The following is a 23,725-nucleotide window of genomic DNA, read 5'->3' as shown; positions in this document are numbered from 1 at the left end:
TCATTACAATAATTATGTTTTATGTGGAGGCTTTTTATAAAGAGGTGTCAAAGTTTTAATTTAAGTTCAAAGGATGGTAAATTGCTAGTGGTAATAACGTTAGCTAAAGCCCAGTCGTTAAATGGAGAAATTTGTTTTTTAAACGAGAAGAATGTTTCCAGTAGGCTCCTTGTCTGGTAAAACAAAAAGCGTGGTCTTACTGTTTCACCTCCAAGATCAGAACCAGGAAATGCAATCCCTCCAGCTAGGAGACTGGCAGCCATCTCTCTCTGATGTAGGGAGCAAGTTGGTTCCGTAGCAAAATGTCTGGCTTCTTTCTGGTTTCTTCAATGGAGCACCTGGGGAGTTGCGGGGTGGGGGGTAGGGGTGTTAGAGGGAACCTGGCTTCTCATCCAGCCTCTGTCACTACAGCCTCCCATCTGGCCAAGGTCCACAGCCTGCAGTCAGCCAGTTACCCAAATGCAGGGAAAACCTAAGTGCTCTGTCATTTTAGGAACAGGGGGAAATAGGAAGGAACTGGGCAACCTTTGAGGTTCATAATTCTCACATCTGTTGTGAATCACCCCATTTTCTTTAACCCAAATCTGGAAGATGGAGTGACAAAGAATCTTGGTGATATTTCCTGTACAAGGTAGTCTAGGAAAGAAACAATTTTTTAAATTGGATGTCTGGATTATTTTTATTTATTTGGACAAGAAGCAAAATGTTTAGATTTAGGACTATTTGGAGGGGGAAATAGTCCCATATGTAAAACAATCTTAGAGAGGAAAAAAGATGAAGGTAACTGACAAACCATCTGAATAATACAAATGCTATGGCATTGTACACAAAGGTGCTATTTTAAAATAAAATGACATTTATTCTGGATTTTGTAATCAATATATGAACATATATTTAAATTTAACTTTATATACATAAGATCACAGCCAAGGAGATTAAGCATAATTTCAAATTTTATCACCAGTCACTTGTGTTATTTTATCACATTTGAAAATATTCGCTCTTATTTACTTTAAACAGTGATCTATAAATTTGTTTAGACAGTAATCATTAAGGATCTTTTCTTCTTCAGGATAATTTTTAAAATTAAATGATGTATCGAACATACTACCGAAGAAACTTTCCTTTTTGATTATGGCCTCTACATTGAAGATCTGTAGGAATTTTTTCTAATTAATTTTCAAATCTTCTCCTGACCTTTGCTGTTCAAAGAAATATCTTTGAAATAATTTTTGTGAATACTTCATAAATCAAAATTTTATTCACAAAACCATATTGCCATAATCACTAATTTTAACAATCCCCTAAATATTTTCTATATCCATTTTCTTGATGATAAAATGTCAGTAATATGGACACACTCTTATTTAACAGAATAATTCCATCAGTTTGCCACCAACCTTCCAAGGTCATTTAATAATTATGCTAGCCATTTCCACAGATTGGTAAGAGGCTCTCCACTAATGGCTCCCAGGCTTTCCACGGCCTCATTTTTCTTGCCAGACTTAGTTCATGTTCAGCCTGAAGAATCACCTCTTCTATTTGACCACCTTGAAGTTGGTCTTCTAATTTTTTAACATCTGTTTCCACTTTAACCACAGCCGGCTTCTCATTTGTAATTTGTTCTATGTACTTTCTATATGCTGCATTTTTAGGGATTTGCTCAAGAACATCAAGAATCTCTGTGTACAATATTCTTAGCCTCTCATGTGGACTCTGAATATAGCCAGTCCCACAAGGGCAGTGGTCTTCTTCAGCACACCTTCAAAGTCACTATTTTAAATACCCACTTAGGCCAGGTGCAGTGACTCACATCTGTAATCCCAGCACTTTAGGAGGACAAGGCAGGTGGATCACTTGACATCAGGAGTTTGAGACCAGCCTGGCCAACCCTGTCTCTACTAAAAATACAAAAATTAGCTGGGCGTGGTGGTGGGCGCCTGTAGTCCCAGCTACTCGGGAGGCTGAGGCAAGAGAGTCGCTTGAACCCGGGAGATGGAGGTTGCAGTGAGCCGAGATCATGCCACTGCACTCCAGCCTGGGTGACAGAGTGAGTCTCTGTTTCAAAAAATAAAAAAATTAAAAATTAAATACCTTCTTATTTCTAGTCTCGGGAGTCAGCATGCTTGAAGGAAAGCCATCTCTGGCTTCTGATCTGTGCTCTGCCACTCACCAGGATAGGAGGCCGGCGAGGGACAGGAGCTCTCTACGCCTTGGTTTCCTCATTGCATTGTTGAAAGAAAAACTTTAGACAAATTAAGTTTAACAGAGTTTATCTGAGCAAAGAATGGGTCACAAATTAGGGAGCTCCCTCGAACCAGAATAGGTTCTGAGCAATTCTGGGGCTGTCTTGGGTTTGCAGAGAAAAGTGACATAAGGGGAATGGAAGTAAGGCACAGAAACAGCAGGATTGGTTCCAGCTCGATGTTTGCCTTTTTTTTTTTTTTTTTTGACAGGATCTCACCCTGTTGCCCAGGCTGGAGTGCAATGGCGCAGTCTCGGCTCACTGCAGCTTCTGGCCCCCAAGTTCAAGAGATCCTCCCACCTCAGCCTCCCGAGTAACTGAGATCACAGGCGCCCGCCACCACGCCCGGCTAATTTTTGTGTTTTTAGTAGAGACAAGGTTTCACCATGTTGGCCAGGCTGGTCTCAAACTCCCGACCTCAAGTGATCTGCCCACCTCAGCCTCCCAAAGTGCTGGGATTACAGGAGTCACCACCAGGCCCAGCCACGTTTGCCTTTTATGAACAACTTGAACAGTGGCCACTGTGAGTGGTTGAGAGATGGCTCCTGGAATTGGGTGAGACTTGGCTATTTGTTACAAGAGCAGGTGACAGCTTGTGGACGTGCCCAGGTAGGTTACACTTCACTATGTATGGAGAAACCTTTAGGCTGAATTTAAAATGTGTAAGGAGGCAGCTTTAGGCTAAAGGTAACAGCCTTATCCCTGTAGTCACATATGTAAGTTACATGCACAGAAGGGTATCTGGCACCAAATAATATTCAATAAATGCTACTTCCTGCTCCCATTTCTTTCAGCACATAGAGAAGGAAAAACCTAAAGACATGGGTGGATAAGGTATGAATTATTTTAATGAGGGAGATTTTGAAATTGAATGCCTTATAACTTATCACACGTCACATCAGTCTGAAGCAACAGAGTGAATTTGTTTTAGGCATTTCTGAAGGTGGAGGTTTATGATCCTCTAGAGGAAAAGTTATAAAAGTAATTGCCAGATATAGTTCTTCATTAGGAAAGTTGGTTTTTGAACTAACGCTATTTGTAATCAGGTAGCAAAAGAGAGAAAGTGCCAGGAAATTCAATTCTAGTCTTTGCTTATTTTGTATAATATTTAAAATATCTTGCATCTCAATACGTTATACTTACAGTACAAAAATATACTTTAAAAACACCTTATATTTGCATAGTTTTTACATATCCTAAGTACTTCGGTGCATATTATCTTATTTTACCCTAACAACCACCTTGTGATCTAAAGAAAGAGGAGTTTTCTTCTTCCCATGTTTGGGGTAAAGAAACTTAGACTCAGGGAGGTAAATGAGTGTTTAAGAATCAACCAAAAAGTGGAGGCAGATTGATCCTTAGACGGATCAGTGTGCCCAGGGCTAGGAAGTCTGTGACTGGAAGAGCCAGAATTCTTATCTAGCTCTTTCAGACTCCGCTTCCCTCCTGAGCAACACTCTCCTTATTATCAGCCAGAATACAGGGCCTCACATTGTGAGACTGGTACAGCGCCCGCTGCGTGAAAATCAAAGCTGCTGTGGCCACTTCACCAACCAGAGGTTACCACCCTGTGATCAGCCTACTTCCGGGCACCAAGTACTGGTTCCAAAGATGGTGAGAAATAATAAACGCTTGTTGTGTGAGCAGGCTGGTAGTGTGGCTTTAGCTCGGTTTGCAAAAGGGACATGCGTTATGGGAGACCTGGTCACATGGGAGGTCTGTCACTGTGTCCTCCGGGATTTCACTGCACTGGAGAATCACAGGGTTTGAGCTAGAGCCCTCCTGACATCCAAGCATGGAGGCGTTTCACTGCAGTCAGCAGAAAGCCCTGGCACCTGTTCTTTCAGAGAACACCTGCTCTGATCCACGCAGCCCCGCACCTGTGCATGGAGCCTTGGCAAGACATACAGAGGTCTCAGGGAAAGAATGGATTTCCCTTGGTGACTCCCATGGAGGAGGCATCTGATGCGCATGGGCTGTCGTCAGGATGTGCCTCGCCTCAGGGAGGCTGGCAGGAGTGCAGCAGGGAATGGCAATCTCTGTTCTGAGCACCCTGGCCTTCCTGAGGACCAGCCGGCTGCCCCCACAGGCTGGTCTGTGAGCGGACGACATTCCACAGGCTCTCCACACTGGTGGAAAAAGAAGCCCTCAGAGCCTGGAGTGCACCCCACTGGCTGGGGTGTCTCCAAGTACACAGGCCTTCTTTCCAGAGCCACTGTAAGCCGGGCACTGCTGTTCTACATAGAAGAAGAAAGGTTACCGTTTTCAGAAAGAAATACCATGAACGGCCGAAATATTTAAAAAGTATGCTTTTTCATCTCCTTTAAGATGAACTGTGGTTGCTTTTACTATTTCCCACTGAGGAGTGATCAACTGCTTATCTATCGAATGCTTCAAAGGTGCTTCTCATCTTGACCTGATTTCCCCACGGGTGTGCTTTTGTTGCTTGTGTAAATCCACACCTGCACCTGCACCAGCACCAGCGATTCTGAGACTCCTGCAAGGAATCAGGAAAAGTCCGTGGTTCTCGGCCTAGGGGCGGGTGAATGTTCAGGGAGATGGCAGACCCCACAGAGCGTGGTCCACTGAGCAGCTCTTGGGGAGGATGAAAATAGGGAACAAACAAACAAAAGCAGTCTGGCGTCGTGCACCTGCACCTGCCCGTGAGAGCTCTGAGCAAGGGAGGTCCCCATCTCACCCCCCAGTTTAGTCACTGGCCCAGCCCCTCTCAGGACCAGGTGGATTATTGCAGATGACAGTGGGCTGCTGTAAACTCCACCAAATGATAGTTCCAATCGCACCTGTCTAGTATGGCAGCTTTACTGGAAGAGTTTCTGGCATTTGTACATAAGACAAAAAAAAATGTAGGTTGTCACCTTCAGCCCAAAGACAGCGTCAAGAGAAGCATCCTGCGTGTTGGCTACACTTCCTGCAGAACACCCCGTCATCAGCTCTGTGGCTGGAGGCAGGGATGCACTTGGACTCCTGGATCACAGTGAAGACTCAGCCGTCTGGTCCGGGTCCAGGAGTTGAATCTTCCCAGTGTTGCATCTTCCCAGGTTGAGGCCTGTCCAGGAGGGCATTCATTCTCTGGCTGGAATCAGGTGGCCATCCTTACCTGAGGACTCACAGTGTGTCTGACTTACCCACATGGCCTAGAACAACTTTATGGAGATGGAGGTACAACAAGGGGCCCACATCAGTCATCTGCCAGCCCCGCTCTCTGGGTAGCACAGAAGCGGTCAGCTGGATGCATGTCGGAACCTCAGGAGGAGAGGAGGGAGGTGGGTGAGTTCTATTTATTATGTGATGCCTCAGACCGACATCTGCAGCAGCGATCTTACTTTGTCCTTCTCACTCTCCTGCTGTCTCCTGTTGGGTGGGTGATTACGAGAGGCCACCTCCTTGAAGGGTCGGTAATGCAGCAGAGCAGACCAACATGGGTGTGCATTGACTTGAGCAGCTCTGCAGGCTCCACAGGCTGTGGCTGCAGACAGCGCCTCCTCCCTGCAGGTGGAGACCCCTCCCATTGCAGATCCCCTGTGGAATGTGACTGCATCTATTTTTTTAATTTATAAAATATTTTAAAACTTTTTTAAAAATAAATGCACAGGCCGGGCGCGGTGGCTCACGCCTGTAATCCCAGCACTTTGGGAGGCCGAGGCGGGCGGATCACGAGATCAGGAGATCGAGACCACGGTGAAACCCCGTCTCTACTAAAAATACAAAAAATTAGCCGGGCGCAGTGGCGGGCGCCTGTAGTCCCAGCTACTCGGGAGGCTGAGGCAGGAGAATGGCGTGAACCCGGAAGGCGGAGCTTGCAGTGAGCGGAGATCGCGCCACAGCACTCCCGCCTGGGCGACAGAATGAGACTCCGTCTCAAAAAAAAAAATAAAAAAAAAAAAATGCACAGAAGGATCAGTTGAAGGCAGAGTGGTAGCCCCTGGTGGCTGGCCAGCACATGGACCAAGCCTACCATGACCTCAGATGTCCTGTGCTCACTGGCAAAGGGGAGCAGGGGGCAGGTGTCCCAATCAGTCCTGGAGCACACAGCAGCCCGTGTGGGAGGGGGTGCCTCACTTTCCGCCTCGGCCCCCTCAAAACTCCCCAGGACCCACACACAGACACTGCAGCGGCGACTGTAGGAGGGGGCACTGGGAACAGGAACGACACTGCCACTCAGCCTCAGGCACCTGAGGGACACCCTGGAGCCTCCAGGGGCACCGTGAAGGTCCAGGCAAAGCCCACCTTAGCGCGACTGGGGAAGGGCAATGAGATGGCCCCACTGCGGGGGAGAGGGGGTGCCCACAAGGCAACAACCATAGGAGATGAGCAAGGGGTGCCTGCTGCGAGCAAAAGAGGAGCCCCCAACCCCCCTGAGGTCACGAGGCAGAGGGCAGGGCAGCCAGGTTAGATTCCGCACCCCTGCCTCCCACCACCACCCACAGGCAGGAAGGAGAGGGAGAGAGGGAGGGGCCCACAGCACAGCCAGGACAAGAAGAATGTCCATCCCTCATGTGTCCCTGCTCAGGCCACCAGGGAAAACGTGATGTCACCACGTCAATGACTGCATCTAAAGGGTAATTAAGGGTAGAGGAGGCCATCAGGGTGGGCCCTAATCTAATCTGCCTGAAGTTCTTCTTAAGAAGAATTAGGGGACCTGGGCAAGATGGCCAAATAGGAACAGCTCTGGTCTGCAGCTCCCAGTGAGATCTATGCAGATGGTGTGTCATTTCTGCATTTCCAATTTAGGTACCCGGCTCCTCGCACTGGGACTAGTTAGACAGTGGGTGCAGCCCACAGAGGGTATGCCAAAGCAGGGTGGGGCGTTGCCTCACCCAGGAAGTGCAAGGGGATTGGGGAACTCCCTCCCTTAGCCAAGGGAAGCCATGAGGGACTGTGTTGTGAGGAATGGTGCATTCTGGCCCAGATACTACACTTTCCCCACAGTCTTCACAACCCACAGGCCAGGAGATTCCTTCGCATGCCTACACCACCAGGGCCCTGGGTTTCAAGCACAAAACTGGGCGGCCGTTTGGGCAGACACTGAGCTAGCTGCTTTGGGCAGACACTGAGCTAGCTGCAGGAGTTTTTTTTTTTTCATACCCCAGTGGTGCCTGGAACACCAGCAAGACAGAACCATTCACTCCCCTGGAAAGGGGGCTGAAGCCAGGGACCCAAGTGGTCTAGCTCAGTGGATCCCACCACCATGGAGCCCAGCGAGCTAAGATCCACTGGCTTGAAATTCTCACAGCCAGCACAGCAGTCTGAAGTCTGAAGTCGACCTGGGATGCTCAAGTTTGGTTGGGGGAGGGGCACCCACCATTACTGAGGCTTGAGTAGGTAGTTTTCCCCTCACAGTGTAAACAAAGCCCAGGGGAATTTCAAACTGGGTGGAGCCCACTGCAGCTCAGCAAAGCCTCTGTAGCCAGACTGTCTCTCTAGATTCCTCCTCTCTGGGCAGGGCATTTCTGAAAAAAAAGGCAGCAGCCCTAGTCAGGGGCTTATAGATAAAACTCCCATCTCCTTGGGACAGAGCACCTGGGGGAAGGGGCAGCTGTGGGCACAGCCTCAGCAGACTTAAATGTTCCTGCCTGCCGGCTCTGAAGAGAGCAGCGGATCTCCCAGCACAGTGCTCGAGCTCTGCTAACAGACAGACTGCCTCCTCCAGTGGGTCCCTGACCCCTGTGCCTCCTGACTGGAAGACACCTTCCAGCAGGTGTCAACAGACACCTCATAAAGGAGAGCTCCAGCTGGCGTCTGGTGGGTTCCCCTCTGGGATGAAGCTTCCAGAGGAAGGAGCAGGCAGCAATCTTTGCTGTTCTGCAGCCTCCACTGGTGATACCCAGGCAAACAGAGTCTGGAGTGGACCCCCAGCAAACTCCAGCAGACTTGCAGCAGAGGGGCCTGACTGTTAGAAGGAAAACTAACAAACAGAAAGGAATAGCATCAACACCAGCAAAAACGATGTGCACACAAAAACCCCATCCAAATGTTACCAACATTAAAGACCAAAGGTAGATAAATCCATGAAGATGAGAAAAAAACCAGTGCGAAAATGCTGAAAAGTCCAAAAACCAGAATGCTTCTTCTCCAAAGGATCACAACTCCTCACCAGCAAGGGAACAAAACTGGACAGAGAATGAGTTTGACGAATTGACAGAAGTAGGCTTCAGAAGATGGGTAATAACAAATTCCTCCAAGCTAAAGGAGCATGTTTTAATCCAATGCAAGGAAGCTAAGAACCTTGATAAAAGGTTAGAAGAATTGCTAACTAGAATAACCAGTGTAGAGAAGAACATAAATGACCTGATGGAGCTGAAAAACACAGCATGAGAACTTTGTGAAGCATACACAAGTATCAATAGCTGAATAGATCAAGCAGAAGAAAGGATATCAGAGATTGAAGATCAACTTAATGAAATAAAGCATGAAGACAGGATTAGAGAAAAAAGAATGAAAAGGAATGAACAAAGCTCCAAGAAATATGGGACTATGTGAAAAGACCAAACCTATGTTTGACTAGTGTACCTGAAACTGATGGGAAGAATGGAACCAAGTTGGAAAACACACTTCAGGATATTATCCAGGAGAACTTCCCCACCCTAGCAAGATAGGCCAACATTCAAATTCAGGAAATACAGAGAACACCACAGATACTCCTTGAGAAGAACAACTCCAAGACACATAATTGTCAGATTCACCAAGCTTGAAATAAAGGAAAAATGTTAAGAGCAGCCAGAGAGAAAGGCTGGGTTACCCACAAAGGGAAGCCCATCAGACTAACAGCAGATCTCTCGGCAGAAACCCTACAAGCCAGAAGAGAGTGGGGGCCAATATTCAACATTCTTAAAGAAAACAATTTTCAACCCAGAATTTCATATCCAGCCAAACTAAGCTTCATAAGCGAAGGAGAAATAAAATCCTTTACAGACAAGCAAATGCTGAGAGATTTTGTCACCACCAGGCCTGCCTTACAAGAGCTCCTGAAGGAAGCACTAAATATGGAAAGAAAAAACTAGTACCAGCCACTGCAAAAACATACCAAATTGTAAAGACCATCAACACTATGAAGAAACTGCATCAACTAACGGGCAAAATAACCAGCTAGCATCATCACGATAGGAAGAAATTCACACAAAATAATATTAACCTTAAATGTAAATGGTCTCAATGCCCCAGTTGAAAGACACAGCCTGGCAAATTGGACAGAGTCAAGACCCATCAGTGTGCTGTATTCAGGAGACTGATCTCATATGCAAAGACACACGTAGGCTCAAAATAAAGGAATGAAGGAATATTTACCAAGCAAATAGAAAGCAAAAAAAAGCAGGGGTTGCAATCCTAGTCTCTGATAAAACAGACTTTAAACCAACAAAGATCAAAAAAGACAAAGAAGGGCATTACATAATGGTAAATGGATCAATGCAACAAGAAGAGCTAACTATACTAAATATATATGCACCCAATACAGGAGCACCCAGATTCATAAAGCAAGTTCTTAGAGACCTACAAAGAGACTTGGACTCCTACACAATAGTAGTGGGAGATTTTAACACTCCACTGTCAATATTAGACAGTTCAACAAGACAGAAAATTAACAAGGATATTCAGGACTTGAACTCAGCTCTGGACCAAGCAGACCTAATGGACATCTACAGAACTCTCCACCCCAAATCAACAGAGTATACATTCTTCTCAGAACCACATTGCACTTATTCTAAAATTGACCACATAATTGGAAGTAAAACACTCCTCAGCACATGCAAAAGAACGGAAATCATAACAGTCTTTCAGACCACAGTGCAATGAAATTAGAACTTGGGATTAAGAAACTCACTCAAAACCACACAATTACATGGAAACTGAACAACCTGCTCCCGAATGACTACTGGGTAAATAACGAAATTAAGGCAGAAATAAATAAGTTATTTGAAACCAATGAGAACAAAGACACAACATACCAGAATCTCTGGGACACAGCTAAAGCAGTTCTTAGAGGGAAATTTATAGCACTAAATGCCCACAGCAGAAAGGGGGAAAGATCTAAAATCGACATCCTAACATCACAATTAAAAGAACTAGAGAAGCAAGAGCAAACAAATTCAAAAGCTAGCAGAAGACAAGAAATAACTAAGATCAGAGAAGAACTGAAGGAGATAGAGACACGAAAAACCTTTCAAAAAATCAATGAATCCAGGAGCCAGTTTTTTGAAAAGATTAACAAAATAGACTGCTAGCCAGACTAATAAAGAGGAAAAGAGAGAAGAATCAAATAGACACAATAAAAAATGATAAAGAGGATATCACCACTGATCCCACAGAAATACAAACTACCATCAGAGAATACTATAAAAACCTCTATGCAGATAAACTAGAAAATCTAGAAGAAATGGATGAATTCCTGGACACAAACACCCTCCCAAGACTAAACCAGGAAGAAGTCGAATCCCTGAATAGACCAATAACAAGTTCTGAAATTGAGGCAGTAATTAATAGCCTACCAACCAACAAAAGCCCAGGACCAGATGGATTCACAGCCAAATTCTACCAGAGGCACAAAGAGGAGCTGGTACCATTCCCTCTGAAACCATTCCAAACAATAGAAAAAGAGGAACTTGTCCCTAACTCATTTTATGAGGCCAGCATCATCCTGGTAACAAAGCCTGGCAGAGACACAACAAAAAAAGAGAAAATTTTAGGCCAATATCCCTGATGAACATCGATGCAAAAATCCTCAATAAAATACTGGTAAACCAAATCCAGCAGCACATCAAAAAGTTCATCCACCACGATCAAGTCGGCTTCATCCCTGGGATGCAAGGCTGGTTCAACATATGCAAATCAATAAACATAATCCATCACATAAACAGAACCAATGGAAAAAAATGCATAATTATTTCAATAGATGCAGAAAAGGCCTTTGATAAAATTCAACACCCCTTCATGCTAAAAATTCTCAATAAACTAGGTATTGATGGAATATCTCAAAATAATGAGAGCTATTTATGACAAACCCACAGCCAATATCACACTGAATGGGAAAAAGCTGGAAGCATTCCCTTTGAAAACTGGCACAAGACAAGGATGCCCTCTCTCACCACTCCTATTCAACATAGTATTGGAAGTTCTGGCCAGGGCAATCAGGCAAGAGAAAGAAATAAAGCGTATTCAAATAGAAAGAGAGGAAGTCAAATTGTCTCTGTTTGCAGATAACATGGTTGTATATTTAGAAAACCCCATCATCTCAGCCCAAAATCTCCTTAAGCTGATAAGCAACTTCAGCAAAATCACAGGATACAAAATCAATGTGCAAAAATCACAAGCATTCCTATACACCAATAATAGAAAAACAGAGAGCCAAATCATCAGTGAACTCCCATTCACAATTGCTATGAAGAGAATAAAATACCTAGGAATACAACTTATAAGGGATGTGAAGGACCTCTTCAAGAACTACAAACCACTGTTCAAGGAAATAAGAGAGGACACAAACAAATGGAAGAACATTCCATGCTCATGGATAGGAAGAATCAATATCTTGAAAATGGCCATACTACACAAAGTAATTTATAGATTCACTGCTATCCCCATACCATTGACTTCCTTCACAGAATTAGAAAAAACTAATTAAATCTCATATCTAATTAATCCCATAATTAATGGGATTGACCCAGCAATCCCATTAAATTTAATATGGAATCAAAAAAGAGCCCGTATAGCCAAGACAATCCTAAGCAAAAAGAACAAAGCTGGAGGCATCACGCAACCTGACTTCAAACTATACTACAAGGCTACAGTAACCAAAACAGCATGGTACTGGAACCAAAATTGATATATAGACCAATGGAACAGAACAGAGGCCTCAGAAATAACACCACACATCTACAACCATCTGATCTTTGACAAACCTGACAAAAACAAGCAATGGGGAAAGGATTTCCTATTTAATAAATGGTGTTGGGAAAACTGGCTAGCCATATGCAGAAAACTGAAACTGGATCCCTTCCTTACACCTTATACCAAAATTAACTCAAGATGGATTAAAGACTTAAATGTAAGACCTAAAACCATAAAAACCGTAGAAGAAAACCTAGGCAATACCATTCAGGACATAGGCACGGGCAAAGGCTTCATGACTAAAACACCAAAACACCAAAAGCAATGGCAACAAAAGCCAAAATTGAGAAATGTCATCTAATTAAACTAAAGAGCTTCTGCACAGCAAAAGAAACTACCATCAGAGTAAGCAGGCAACCTACAGAATGGGAGAAAGTTTTTGTAATCTCTCCATCTGACAAAGGGCTAATATCCAGAATCTACAAGGAATTTAAACAAATTTACAAGAAAAAAACAACCCCATCGAAAAGTGTTTGAAGGATATGAGCAGAAATTTCTCAAAAGAAGACATTTATGGCCAGGAGCAGTGGCTCACGCCTATAATCCCAGCACTTTGGGAGGCCGAGGCCAAGGTGGGCAGATCATGAGGTCAGGAGATCAAGACCATCCTGGCTAACATGGTGAAACCCCATCTCTAGTATTAATATAAAAAATTAGCTGGATGTGGTGGCACATGCCTGTAGTCCCAGCTACTCGGGAGGCTGAGGCAGGAGAATCTCTTGAACCCAGGAGGTGGAGGTTGAATTGAGCTCAGATCCCACCACTGCACTCCAGCCTGGGCGACAGAGCAGGACTCTGTCTAAATAAAAAAAATAAAAAAAAAAAAGAAAAGAACACATTTATGCAGCCAACAAACATGAAAAAAAAGCTCATCATCACAGGTCATTAGAGCAGTGCAAATCAAAGCCACAATGAGGTACCATCTCACGCCAGTTAGAATGGCGATCATTAAAAAGTCAGGAAACGACAGATGCTGGAGAGGATGTGGAGATAGAGGAATGCTTTTACACTGTTGGTAGGAGTGCAAATTAGTTTAACCATTGTGGAAGACAGTGTGCTTATTCCTCAAGGATCTAGAATCAGAAACACCATTTGATCCAGCAATCCCATTACTGGGTATATACCCAAAGAATTATAAATCACTGTACTATAAAGACACATACACACATATGTTTATTGTAGCACTATTCACAATAGCAAAGACTTGGGACCAACCAAAATACCCATCAATGATAGACTGGATAAAGAAAATGTGGCACATCTACACCATGGAATACTATGCAGCCATAAAAAAGGATGAGTTCATGTCCTTTGCAGGGACATGGATGAAGCTGGAAACCATCACTCTCAGCAAACTAACACAGGAACAGAAGACTAAACACATGTTCTCACTCATAAGTGGGAGTCGAACAATGAGAACACATGGACACAGGGAGGGAAACATCACATGCTGGGCCCTGTCAGGGGGTGGGGGGCTAGGGGAGGGATAGCATTAGGAGAAATACCTAATGTAGATGATGGGTTGATGGGTGCAGCAAACTACCATGGCGCATGTATACCCATGTAACAAACTTGCACATTCTCCACATGTAGCCCAGAACTTAAAGTATAATAATAATAATTTTAAAAAGAGGAAATTAGGGCAGAGACAGGCACAGAGGGCCCCCTGATAGTGTCCTCTACCTTGAATCGCCTCTTCAGATGCAGTCATGTTCTGAGGGCCTGAGGGTCGAGGCTGCAATGGCAGAATTTGGAGGGGACCGTCAGCCCCTCTCACAGCCCTCCTCCTTTTCTGACTTTTACAATAGCTTTCTGTGCTTATCTGCTTGTACACTTTGGGGTTTGGGGTGAAATCATGTTTGGGAAAAGCTTTGCTTCATCACAAAGGTCTGGAAACCCTGAGATGGACTGAGGCTCTGCCTCTCCATCAGCTTGGGCTTGGAGCTTCCCTTTGCAGACCCCATGTGGACAGGAGCTGGTGGCTCCAGGACCCAGTGGCTCCAGGACCCAGTCTACAGCCACGGTCTATGGAGGCGGCTCTTCAGTGGGGCTGAGGCCCCCAGGGTGTGTCCCTCCGTGAAGTGTCCAGGCATCAGCAACCCCCTGCCCTCCCAGCCAGCCAGAGCAAAAAGCTTCTTGGTTTCCCCTTAAGCCAGAGAAGAAGGCTGTTTCCACTCAGCAGTACTGTGGCTCTTCATGGCTCTTCCAAAACCATGTCCTGTCTCCTGAAGCCCAAGTCAGGAAGAGCAGGGGTTTAAGAAGGCCTGACTCACTCTGCAACCAAGCTTGTCCTGCAGTTTGCTGGGTGCTGGAGGCCTACGTGGGCTCTGCTTCTGGGATGTCCTCCCAAGCCACAGTGGGAACAGGACCTGGCTGTGGGAGCTGGGATCCATGGAGGACACGTCCTGCCTGTCTAGAAGCTGAATCTCATGTTGTGATGTCCTATTCTGGCCCACAGAAAAACAGGCTGACTCAAATAAGGATATTGAAACAGTCTCCCAAATCTTCCCACTTCAATAGCTTAAGTTGGGCTGGTTGGGGCTGAATTGGCCAGTGGTTTAGGCAGAGCACATAACAGAACTTTCATGACTGTTATCTCATTTTACTGAGTGACCATAAGAAAGGGGAGATGAAACATGTACGAATCTCTTGTAACGTTTGTAATTTACCCCTCTCCTGAAGGACACGGCTCCTTTTCTCAGAAACGTATTATATTATCCTACAGAGCAGAGGAAGACATTTTCTCAGCAACAAAGAGAACTGGGGCAGGAGTGAATCTGAAGAAGACGGGAAAAGCAGTATCAGGATTCAGTTCTTAAGACTTCAGGAATAACTGCAGAGTTAAACTGAACACGACTACCCGGGGCTGTTTGATGCACTTTGCCTTGGACTCTGGGGCAACTTCCCTCCTGCTCCCTCTGTCTTCACATGACTAATGGAGAAGGGAAGGAGGTGGAGAGGCTGCAGGGCACAGTGGGGAAAAAGCTTCCTGCTATCACGAAGCACAGACGATAACAACAGCTAACTCCACGGGACAGCCACCTTGGCATTTTCAGACATGGTAGCGTTCTCCCCCAGGGCCCTGTGGCAGATGGGTGGCTAATTCCTCAGGACATACACACTGAAGAAACACAGAATCTGCCTCAAAGCCCGGACTCCCAGCTCTTCAGGAGTAAGATCTCTACCCTCCTCGCTGTGCAGTTTCCACAAAACCATCGGCAGTGAGGAGACTTCAAAATCACCCTTGTAGAAAGAAATTAATTAATTTAAGATAAATTAAAATAAAAAAACAAAATCACCCTCATGTCAATTCCAGCACTATAGCAGGAAGCTCTCAGAGTCTTATTGAGAAATTTCTTTCTAACTTGTAAGAAACATCCTTATCCATCCAAACCCAAAGAATGGACTCAGGGACACAGAGAACAGAAGAAGCGAGACTTTAATGGCAGTCTTGCAAGATTGGGTGTCTGGCATGAGGCACACCCAGAAGGGCTTCAACAAGAAATTTACTCCCTAGTGCACAAGTCCCTCCCCCAGTTCCTCATTGGCTGAGTACTACGAGGTTACAATCTTCCTGGACGTCGAATATTGGTAGTTGGATTAAGTTTTCGAGTATGTTCATTAGGGTCTTTCTGCTGCATTTTATTGCATCCCATAATGCATTGTGACTGTCTCAGGACTCTTCGAACATTTGACGTATGGCCCTAGATGGCTGTGCTTTGCTGATAAGAAAGGATAAAATTATCTATGTTGCAAGCTAGCCTAAACTAAATTCTTCGGTGGGGTGGGGAGGGGGTATTTAAGGGGGCCCTGACCGATAGGCACCTGGCTGCCAAGTGAAAGGAGAAAGCAGGATGGGGGCAGGGGTGGCTCAGTACATTCTGCTTCTTTATCTCTTTATTTCCACATAGCCTGCTTAAACCTATACTAAGACACTTAAAATTAAAAATGGACCACCACATATAGGTTATTTTTTACATAACTGACACCCGGTTTTGAGTATCTTATATTATAATCTGTTTTGCTTGCATTCTAGTAAGTCATTTCCCCAGTAACACGATTGCAGACTCCTTAAAGGGAGAGACATGCCTTATACACAAAACCTGACACAGACAAGGAATTGGTCAATCATTCCAATAGTATTTCTTAATAGCATCATTTTCTTATTTAGTTTGTCTCACAGTTTCTTCTTCATACTTTGTGAAAGAGTGGCTAATCAAATTTCTCTCATAGACTTTATTTATTTATTTATTTATTTATTTATTTTTGAGATGGAGTTTCACTCTTATCACCCAGGCTGGAGTGCAATCGTGCGATCTTGGCTCACGGCAACCTGTATCTCCAGGGCTCAAGCAATTCTCCTGCCTTAGCCTCCCAAGTAGCTGGGATGAGAGGTGCCTGCCACCACGCCCAGCTAAGTTTTGTATTTTTAGTAGAGACGGGATTTCGGCATGTTGGCCCAGCTAGTCTTGAACTCCTGACCTCAGGGGATCCACCTGCCTTGGCCTCCCATAGAGCTGGGATTATAGGCGTGAACCTCTGTGCCCGGCCTCTCTCACAGACTTTAAAAACACATTTGTGTGAAGAATAACATTAGGAGACCATTGTGTAAGCAGGCCTGTGAACTAGGTATCTGCTGTTTAGGAACACTGAAGAAGGCAGTCTAGGGAGAAATGGGTGCCCGTGCATCAGAAGGGAAAAGGGGGCTGGAGAGAAGTTTAGAGGTGGAGACAAAATGGCTTTGTGGCACAAAGGGCAAGGAAAAAAGCGAATTAGGGATGACTCCTGGGTTTATGGTTGAGCTGGTGGTGCATAAGGGATTGGATTTTGTCATGATGAGGTCACTTCTTCCAAGAGCGTCACTGAGTTCAGTTTCTGGGGAATGGAAGGCCAGAGTGGAAATGTCATGATAAAACAAATTGCAAGCCAATTACCCTCCTCTCCCACAGCCAAGCGAATATCTACATTTAACAGGCTTTTTAAAACTTCATCTATGTAGATTCTGAGTAACTGGGAAAAGGAATCTCTTCTGAGGTCCTGATTGTTCTTACAACCTTAACCTGTAATCGCATCTACGCAGCCCACTTTCACTAGCTTATAAAGCAGTTGAATATTCCAGTTGCTTTGAGTCAAAACCCAAAGCAAGATTAGACTTCATCGATACTTCAGGCACGATGGCAACAGGTATTCATCATATTTAAGCTTCCCTTTCTTGTTCCACAGAACTTAAAAAGCTAATAATTTACTTCTGCAGTCTCTCCTACTGCAAGGACACCATTCCAACCAAGCAAAGATTATGGCAGGTCAGAACGACGAGCACGTAGGTAAGAGTCAAATAATTTTCATTTAAATTAAGCCAAACTTTGTAATTTGCTTTTTGTGCCTTACTTTTATATTTTTATTTTTTGCACTAAACAATATTCTTCAAAAATGATGCCAAAAAACCCTGGTACTGTTGTTATTATTATACTTTACTTTGTCTATTTTTGGGCACTCTTTCAGGAATGGAAAGTAGATCTGAAACTATTTTTGGCCTGAACCATGTCTTGTTAAGATGCAGATCCTGATTCAGTGGGTCTGGAGTGAGGCCTGAGGTTTGCGTTTCAGATGAGCTCACAGATGCCACCCTTGCTGCTGGTCCTCGGGCAACACTTTGGGTAACAACCTCCAGGGGTGGCTGGGGGGCCGGGAAACCCTTCAGAGCTGCCCCACTGAGGCAAGGCTAGTTTTGTGCCCCTACAACCTGCATCAAGTGGTAACTGGATGGAGGCTGCCCCTGGTGAGGCAGCTCCTCGATTCTGTACACCACCAAATTGGGCATTTCCAGTTAATTAAATCCAAATCTATTTTGAGTGCAGTCCGGGCACAGTGGCTCATGCCTGTAATTCCAGCATTTTGGGAGGCTGAGGTGAGCAGACTGCCTGAGCTCACGAGTTCGAGACCAGCCTGGCCAACATAGCAAAACACCCTCTCTACTAAAAAAATACAAAAAAGTTAGCCAGGCATGGTGGTGCACACCTGTAGTCCCAGTTACTTGGGAGGCTGAGGCAGGAGAATTGCTTGAACCCAGGAGGCAGAGGCTGCAGTCAGCCGAGATCGCATCACGCACTCCAGCCTGGGTGACAGAGTGAGATACTGTCTCAAAAAAAGAAAAACAAGAAAAAGAAAAAAGAGTGCAGTTGTGTGGGGGAAGGAGAATGACACTTGGAGCCAGAAGACCTGGGTTTGAATCTTATCTCTGCCACTTAAGGCAGCAGCACCACGTGTTCAACTTAAATTTCTAATATTAAATCCACAGCATATATCACCTCAATCATATAGTTTCCAAAATCATCAAGTGACATATTATGCTTGTAAAGATTTTGCCAAGAATTCTTAGTGGGTTCTCATGACCTTAATTGTAATCAAATCCAAAACCCATACTATATTTTGTGTAGTCCTATTTTTTGTAACAAATAGAGCTATTACACAAATGCAAAAGTGTTGTGTATGTATGTATTATGTGTAAATAGTAGCAAGATGATAGATAATGGATTGGTAGATGATAGATAATAGATATAGATAGAGAATACATAGATAATAGATAAAATAAATAGTTATAGACAGGTAGATGATGGATAAATAGACAATGGATTATATGGATGATAGATATAAAGATAATAAATATGGGTAGATAATAAATAGAAATAATATTATAGAAGAGAGATTTGGAAAGCTAATAGCTATAGACAGATAATAGATCGATGATAGATAAAGGTAAATATATGATCATTAGCTAATAAGAAATAATTAATTCCCTTATTGCCTTATACACTTTTGCCTATCTGGGCCGTGAGTGTGGCCTGCAGCCATGTACCTGTGCCTAGCCCATGTTTCTCATCGTCCGAGCTTAGGGGGCAGCTGGTGAGCTGAGGTTGTCATTCCCCCTGCAGGTGAGAAGGGTCTCCATTCTGCAGCTCACTCTCCCCGCCTCTCCATCACCCTCTCCTTTTTCTGGCTGTGGAAGGGACAGGAAGGGCTGAGAGGTTGACCACATAAATGAGGTTTGATTGGAACTGTTATGCTTGGGTTTCCTGGAAAAAGACTCTGAGGAAGAGGCTATGGGGCAGGCTCTGGGGAACCCCTCCTGGGGAGGAAGACAGTACCTGCAAGTGGTCCTGACAGCTCCCATGGGGGCTCAGGACTGAGCAGGCACTTCAGAGCAACCCCACTGAGGCAAAGGTGTGGGGCTTGTGCCCCCAGACCCAGTGGTACCTGGGCAGGGCTCCCCTGCAGGGCCACCCCAGGCACTGCACAGAGGCTCCCTGTGGGCCTCAGCCACCCACACTCCCACGAGCTGGACACAGGGTATCTGGTTCCTAATGGGCACCACCTTGCCTGGCACAGGAGGGGACAACATCTCAAGGCATTGATGGGCATCACACCGATGCTACCATGAAAGCCACGGCTCCTCAGAGCCCCACACACAAGACAAGGGCCACAGCTCCTCGGCACTGTCACCCAGGACTGCACAGTGTGGGTTGGGACTCACAGAGGTTTCTCTTGAGTGGGCACTGCCAGTCTTTAGGCACCGTTGAGATCTTGCTCTTGATTTAGCTCTTACGAGATGCAAGCCAGGCAGAGGTGTCTGTAGGGAGTTGGCGTGACTGGTGTGATTGGCAAGGTCCATGTGACTGGTGAGGTCGGTGTGCATCCTAGGAGAGAACCAGAGGTGGGCATCCCTCATGCTCTACCCAGAGCCATGCACTGCTATGCCAAGATGGCGTCCTACAGCCCAGCACAGAGCCACAGGTAGGATGCAAGTAGGACTCAGGTAGGATGCAGGTGGGATGCAGGTGGGACTCAGGTGGGACTCAGTTAGGACTCAGATGGGATGCAGGTGGGACTCAGGTGGGACTCAGGTAGGATGCAGGTAGGATGCAGGTAGGATGTAGGTGGGATGCAGGTAGGATGCAGATAGGATGCAGGTGGGATGCAGGTGGGACTCAGGTAGGATGCAGGTAGGATGTAGGTGGGATGCAGGTAGGATATAGGTGGGATGCAGGTAGGATATAGGTGGGATGCAGGTAGGATATAGGTGGGATGCAGGTAGGCTATAGGTGGGATGCAGGTAGGATATAGGTGGGATGCAGGTAGGCTATAGGTGGGATGCAGGTAGGATGTAGGTGGGATGCAGGTAGGATGCAGGTAGGATGTAGGCGGGATGCAGGTAGGATGCAGGTGGGATGCAGGTGGGACTCAGGCAGGATGATAAAGGTGGGACTCAGGTGGGATGCAGGTAGACAGAGTGCAGGTGTGTGCACTCAGCTATGTCCATAGCACACCCTGGACCTTAGCACCATGCCTGGAATGCCAGAATACGATGGGTCCCAGAGGGAGGGTAGCATTCAAATGAAGACTACGAATGTCACATGTGCTTAGCCTGTGTGCCTGGAAAATCCCCTAGTGTCCTGCACCAGCTGGCCCGGGAGGGAAGAACAGGCAGCTCTGCAGGCCGCGCTCTGGGGACCGAGGTACCCGTGAATGAATCCACGTGGATATCAGAGAGACTGAGCCTTCAGCCCAAAGCCCAGCTCCTTCACTGGCCTGTTGGGCAGCTTTGTGCCCTTTCCTCAATCTCTCTGAGCCTTAGTTCTGTCCTTATAAGCAATGTGTCGGTGCAATAATAATTCCTGCCTTGATGGTCCTGGAATGACTGAATAAGATCTAGTTCCTCGAGTCACCCGATTAGGTTTCCTTCCCTTCCTTTTCCTTCCTAATCTCAGAAAGAAAGGGATGGGAAAAGCAAAAGGAAGGAAAATGCTGGCAAAGCAAACGTAGGTGTGTGGCACCTGGCACCCTCGCAGCGAGCGTGGCTATGGTCTGTAGCAGCAAAGAGCCCCACAGCCACGCCCAGCTCCGGGAGAGGGGCCAGACTGGGACCTGGGCTCTGAGCCCCCGTGGCTAGCGCGGCACCTGCACTCCTTGATATGTTCAGGACACCTCAGCATGGAGGGGGGCCGCACTGTGCCCCCCACCACCGCCATCCTGCCAGCCCAGCAGACTCTAGGGACTGGGCCTGACCTTGCCAGCAGCGCCGGAAACCCAGAGGCAGCCTCCTCCTCCCCAGCACGATGCCTATGCACGAGGGCCTGGGTCCAGGATGCAGACGGGGCCACTGCTGCACTCTGCAGCGGTGCGGACCGGGAGCAGCTGCCTAGTGGCCCCTGCAGGGGGTCGGTCTTAAGCCAACTGGTCCCTCTTCCTCTTGTTCAACTTCCTGCCAGGAAGCTTGGAGGGCAGCTGTTATTCACAACTAAACATCTTAAAAAGGAATGACTTGGTTCTTAGTCCTACCCCAAATGGGTCAGGGTTTTCTTTCCTCCTTTGAAATGGCTTTGGCGTTACAAGGGCCTTTCTTATCTGATTGTTGCATTAATATGATCCTTGAAAATGGACCGAAGGAGAATGAGGATAAACGTTTTGTACCAAAAAAGCACTAATTTCAGTTGAGATAGGATTTTAAGTTTTAGAGGAGAGAGGAGTGGAAAACAGATAATATAAAAAACGAAAATGTGAATACAGATTTAATCCCAGTGAGGCTAGAACGTGCAGGGCTTGGCCTCGAAAGAGGCAGAGCTGCGTGCTGACTCACCAGAGGGGCGTGCGGATCCTCCCAGGCCGCTGTTGAGGAGTGTTGTGGGTGGAGGCTCCACTCTGGGGGGACTGGCTTCCCGAGTTTGCCTTCCTTGCTGTCAGCATGGCCTCACGGCCCTGAAGAAGCAGGGCCCCCAGCCAACGTAAATGTTAACACCGTTGTAGGGATTATAGCCGCTGGTTTTCAATCGTGCTTTTTTTTTTTTTTTTTTGAGATGGAGTCTCGCTCTGTCGCCCAGACTGGAGTGCAGTGGCGCGATCTCGGCTCACTGCAAGCTCCGCCTCCCGGGTTCACGCCATTCTCCTGCCTCAGACTCCCAAGTAGCTGGGACTACAGGCGCCCGCCACTACGCCCGGCTAATTTTTTGTATTTGTAGTAGAGACGGGGTTTCACCGTGTTAGCCAAGGTGGTCTCGATCTCCTGACCGCGTGATCCGCCTGCCTCGGCCTCACAAAGTGCTGGGATGACAGGCGTGAGCCACTGCTCCCGGCTCAATCGTGCTTTTACAAACGCTCTGGATGCTTTTGAAGTTCATTTGAATTCTATCCCTCAGATAAATGGACTCTCCTGAGAAAGACAAACAGTTTCCTAGGCTCACTAGCAACAGCACAGTCCTTGGGTGGTGGTTGTTATTGTTGCTGTTTGTTTTAATATTTACCTAAGGTCACAGTCACAGCTTGTAATTTATTATATCTGAATTATTTAGAGTGATTATTAACTGTCGATCTCAGGGCTTAATGTTAATGAATGCTTCTGGGAAATGAACAGAATGATAAATTCAGGCCGATGCAGGCACCTCCCCACTTTTATGGGAAGAAGGGCCCCACACTTGTGCTCTGCACCCGGGAGGAGGCCTGACCCATCGACTCGCTTCCCGTCCTCGTGTCATTACAAATCTCTGCCTGGTTCCTCACACAATAACAGAGGAGATGGCTGAAACGCTGCCTTCTGGGCGTTTATAAACCACAGTCGCTGCCTATTTTCAGGCGGAAACGCTCCAGGAGCTGAGAGAGCTGTGCTGCCCTGTGAGGCTCCCATCCTCTTAGTCACAAGACTGCTGTCTCCCCTGGGGACCACACGCTGTGCAAATCCGCCATCCATCCATTACCGTCTACACGCTGTGCAAATCCACCATCCATCCGTTACAGCCCATTATCAGATGGAAGCCTTCCAGCCCCCTGGTGAGAAGCCAGAGAGCACTAATGTCCACATGGGGACAAAATTATTGACCATGAACTGAGGAAATGTATTTTTTTTTTGCTTCTTCCCACTTTGACCGGAATTACTAACTTGATCAACATGAAATTAAAATGAAACACTTGGGGAAGAATCTCTTCAAGTCCATTTTTTTATCACTGGGCTGAGACCATATTATGCAGTCACAATGCCAGGTTATTTCAACTTAGCCGAATTAATGAATCTAACTCAGTCCTGGGCTATATTACCCATCTGTTTTAGGATATTATAAGAGAAAGTATGTGACTTTTTCACCAAGTTACACATGAGAAAATTAAGACGAGATGTCCAAGTTCACAGTCATCTCATCATGATGGAACAGAGGGATAATCACAGGAAAATGTAGGTGCTTCCCCAGAACACTGAATTTCTATGTAATCAGGTAAAATTAGGCCATCTCGGTTGTCACCTTCCTGCACAGGATGTGGAAATAGCTGTCATTTATAAAGAAGGGGCCGTGCAGAGGGGCAGAAGCCACTGGAGAGCAGCTGTGGCTGGCGCTCACTTCTGGGCTCCTGGCGGGGTCTCAGCCGGGTGGTAAGTGCAGCAGTGGAAAATGGCCTGGACTCCTCGCCGGGGGCTCTAACCTCTTCCCTAGCTTGGCTATCATCCTGAGTCAACACCGCTGGGCCTCAGTTGCAGGTCCTGTTGGAATTTGGGATTGGGGACTGGAAAGGACTCAGGGGTTTATGCCGTTGCACTGGTAT

At 46.1% G+C, this 23,725-nt stretch overlaps 1 pseudogene, besides 1 other annotated feature; it reads right to left on the bottom strand.

Moving 5' to 3' along the window:
• Nucleotides 1-1,224: 1,224 nt before the first annotated feature.
• On the bottom strand, nt 1,225-1,763 carry NDUFA5P8 (NADH:ubiquinone oxidoreductase subunit A5 pseudogene 8; annotated as a pseudogene).
• Nucleotides 22,537-23,178: an enhancer, noted in NCBI's record as "OCT4-NANOG-H3K27ac-H3K4me1 hESC enhancer chr11:3275868-3276509 (GRCh37/hg19 assembly coordinates)". NCBI's record gives its function as "activates a minimal SCP1, AML or CMV promoter by ChIP-STARR-seq in naive and primed H9 embryonic stem cells {active_cell/tissue: H9 hESC(naive and primed)}" and the evidence as "EXISTENCE:reporter gene assay evidence [ECO:0000049][PMID:30033119]".

Source organism: Homo sapiens, chromosome 11 (genome assembly GCF_000001405.40).
Source record: "Homo sapiens chromosome 11, GRCh38.p14 Primary Assembly".
NCBI classification, from domain to species: Eukaryota; Metazoa; Chordata; class Mammalia; order Primates; family Hominidae; genus Homo; species Homo sapiens.
The sequence above is the reverse complement of the archived record's forward strand: the minus strand, read 5'-3'. Positions and strand labels throughout refer to the sequence as shown.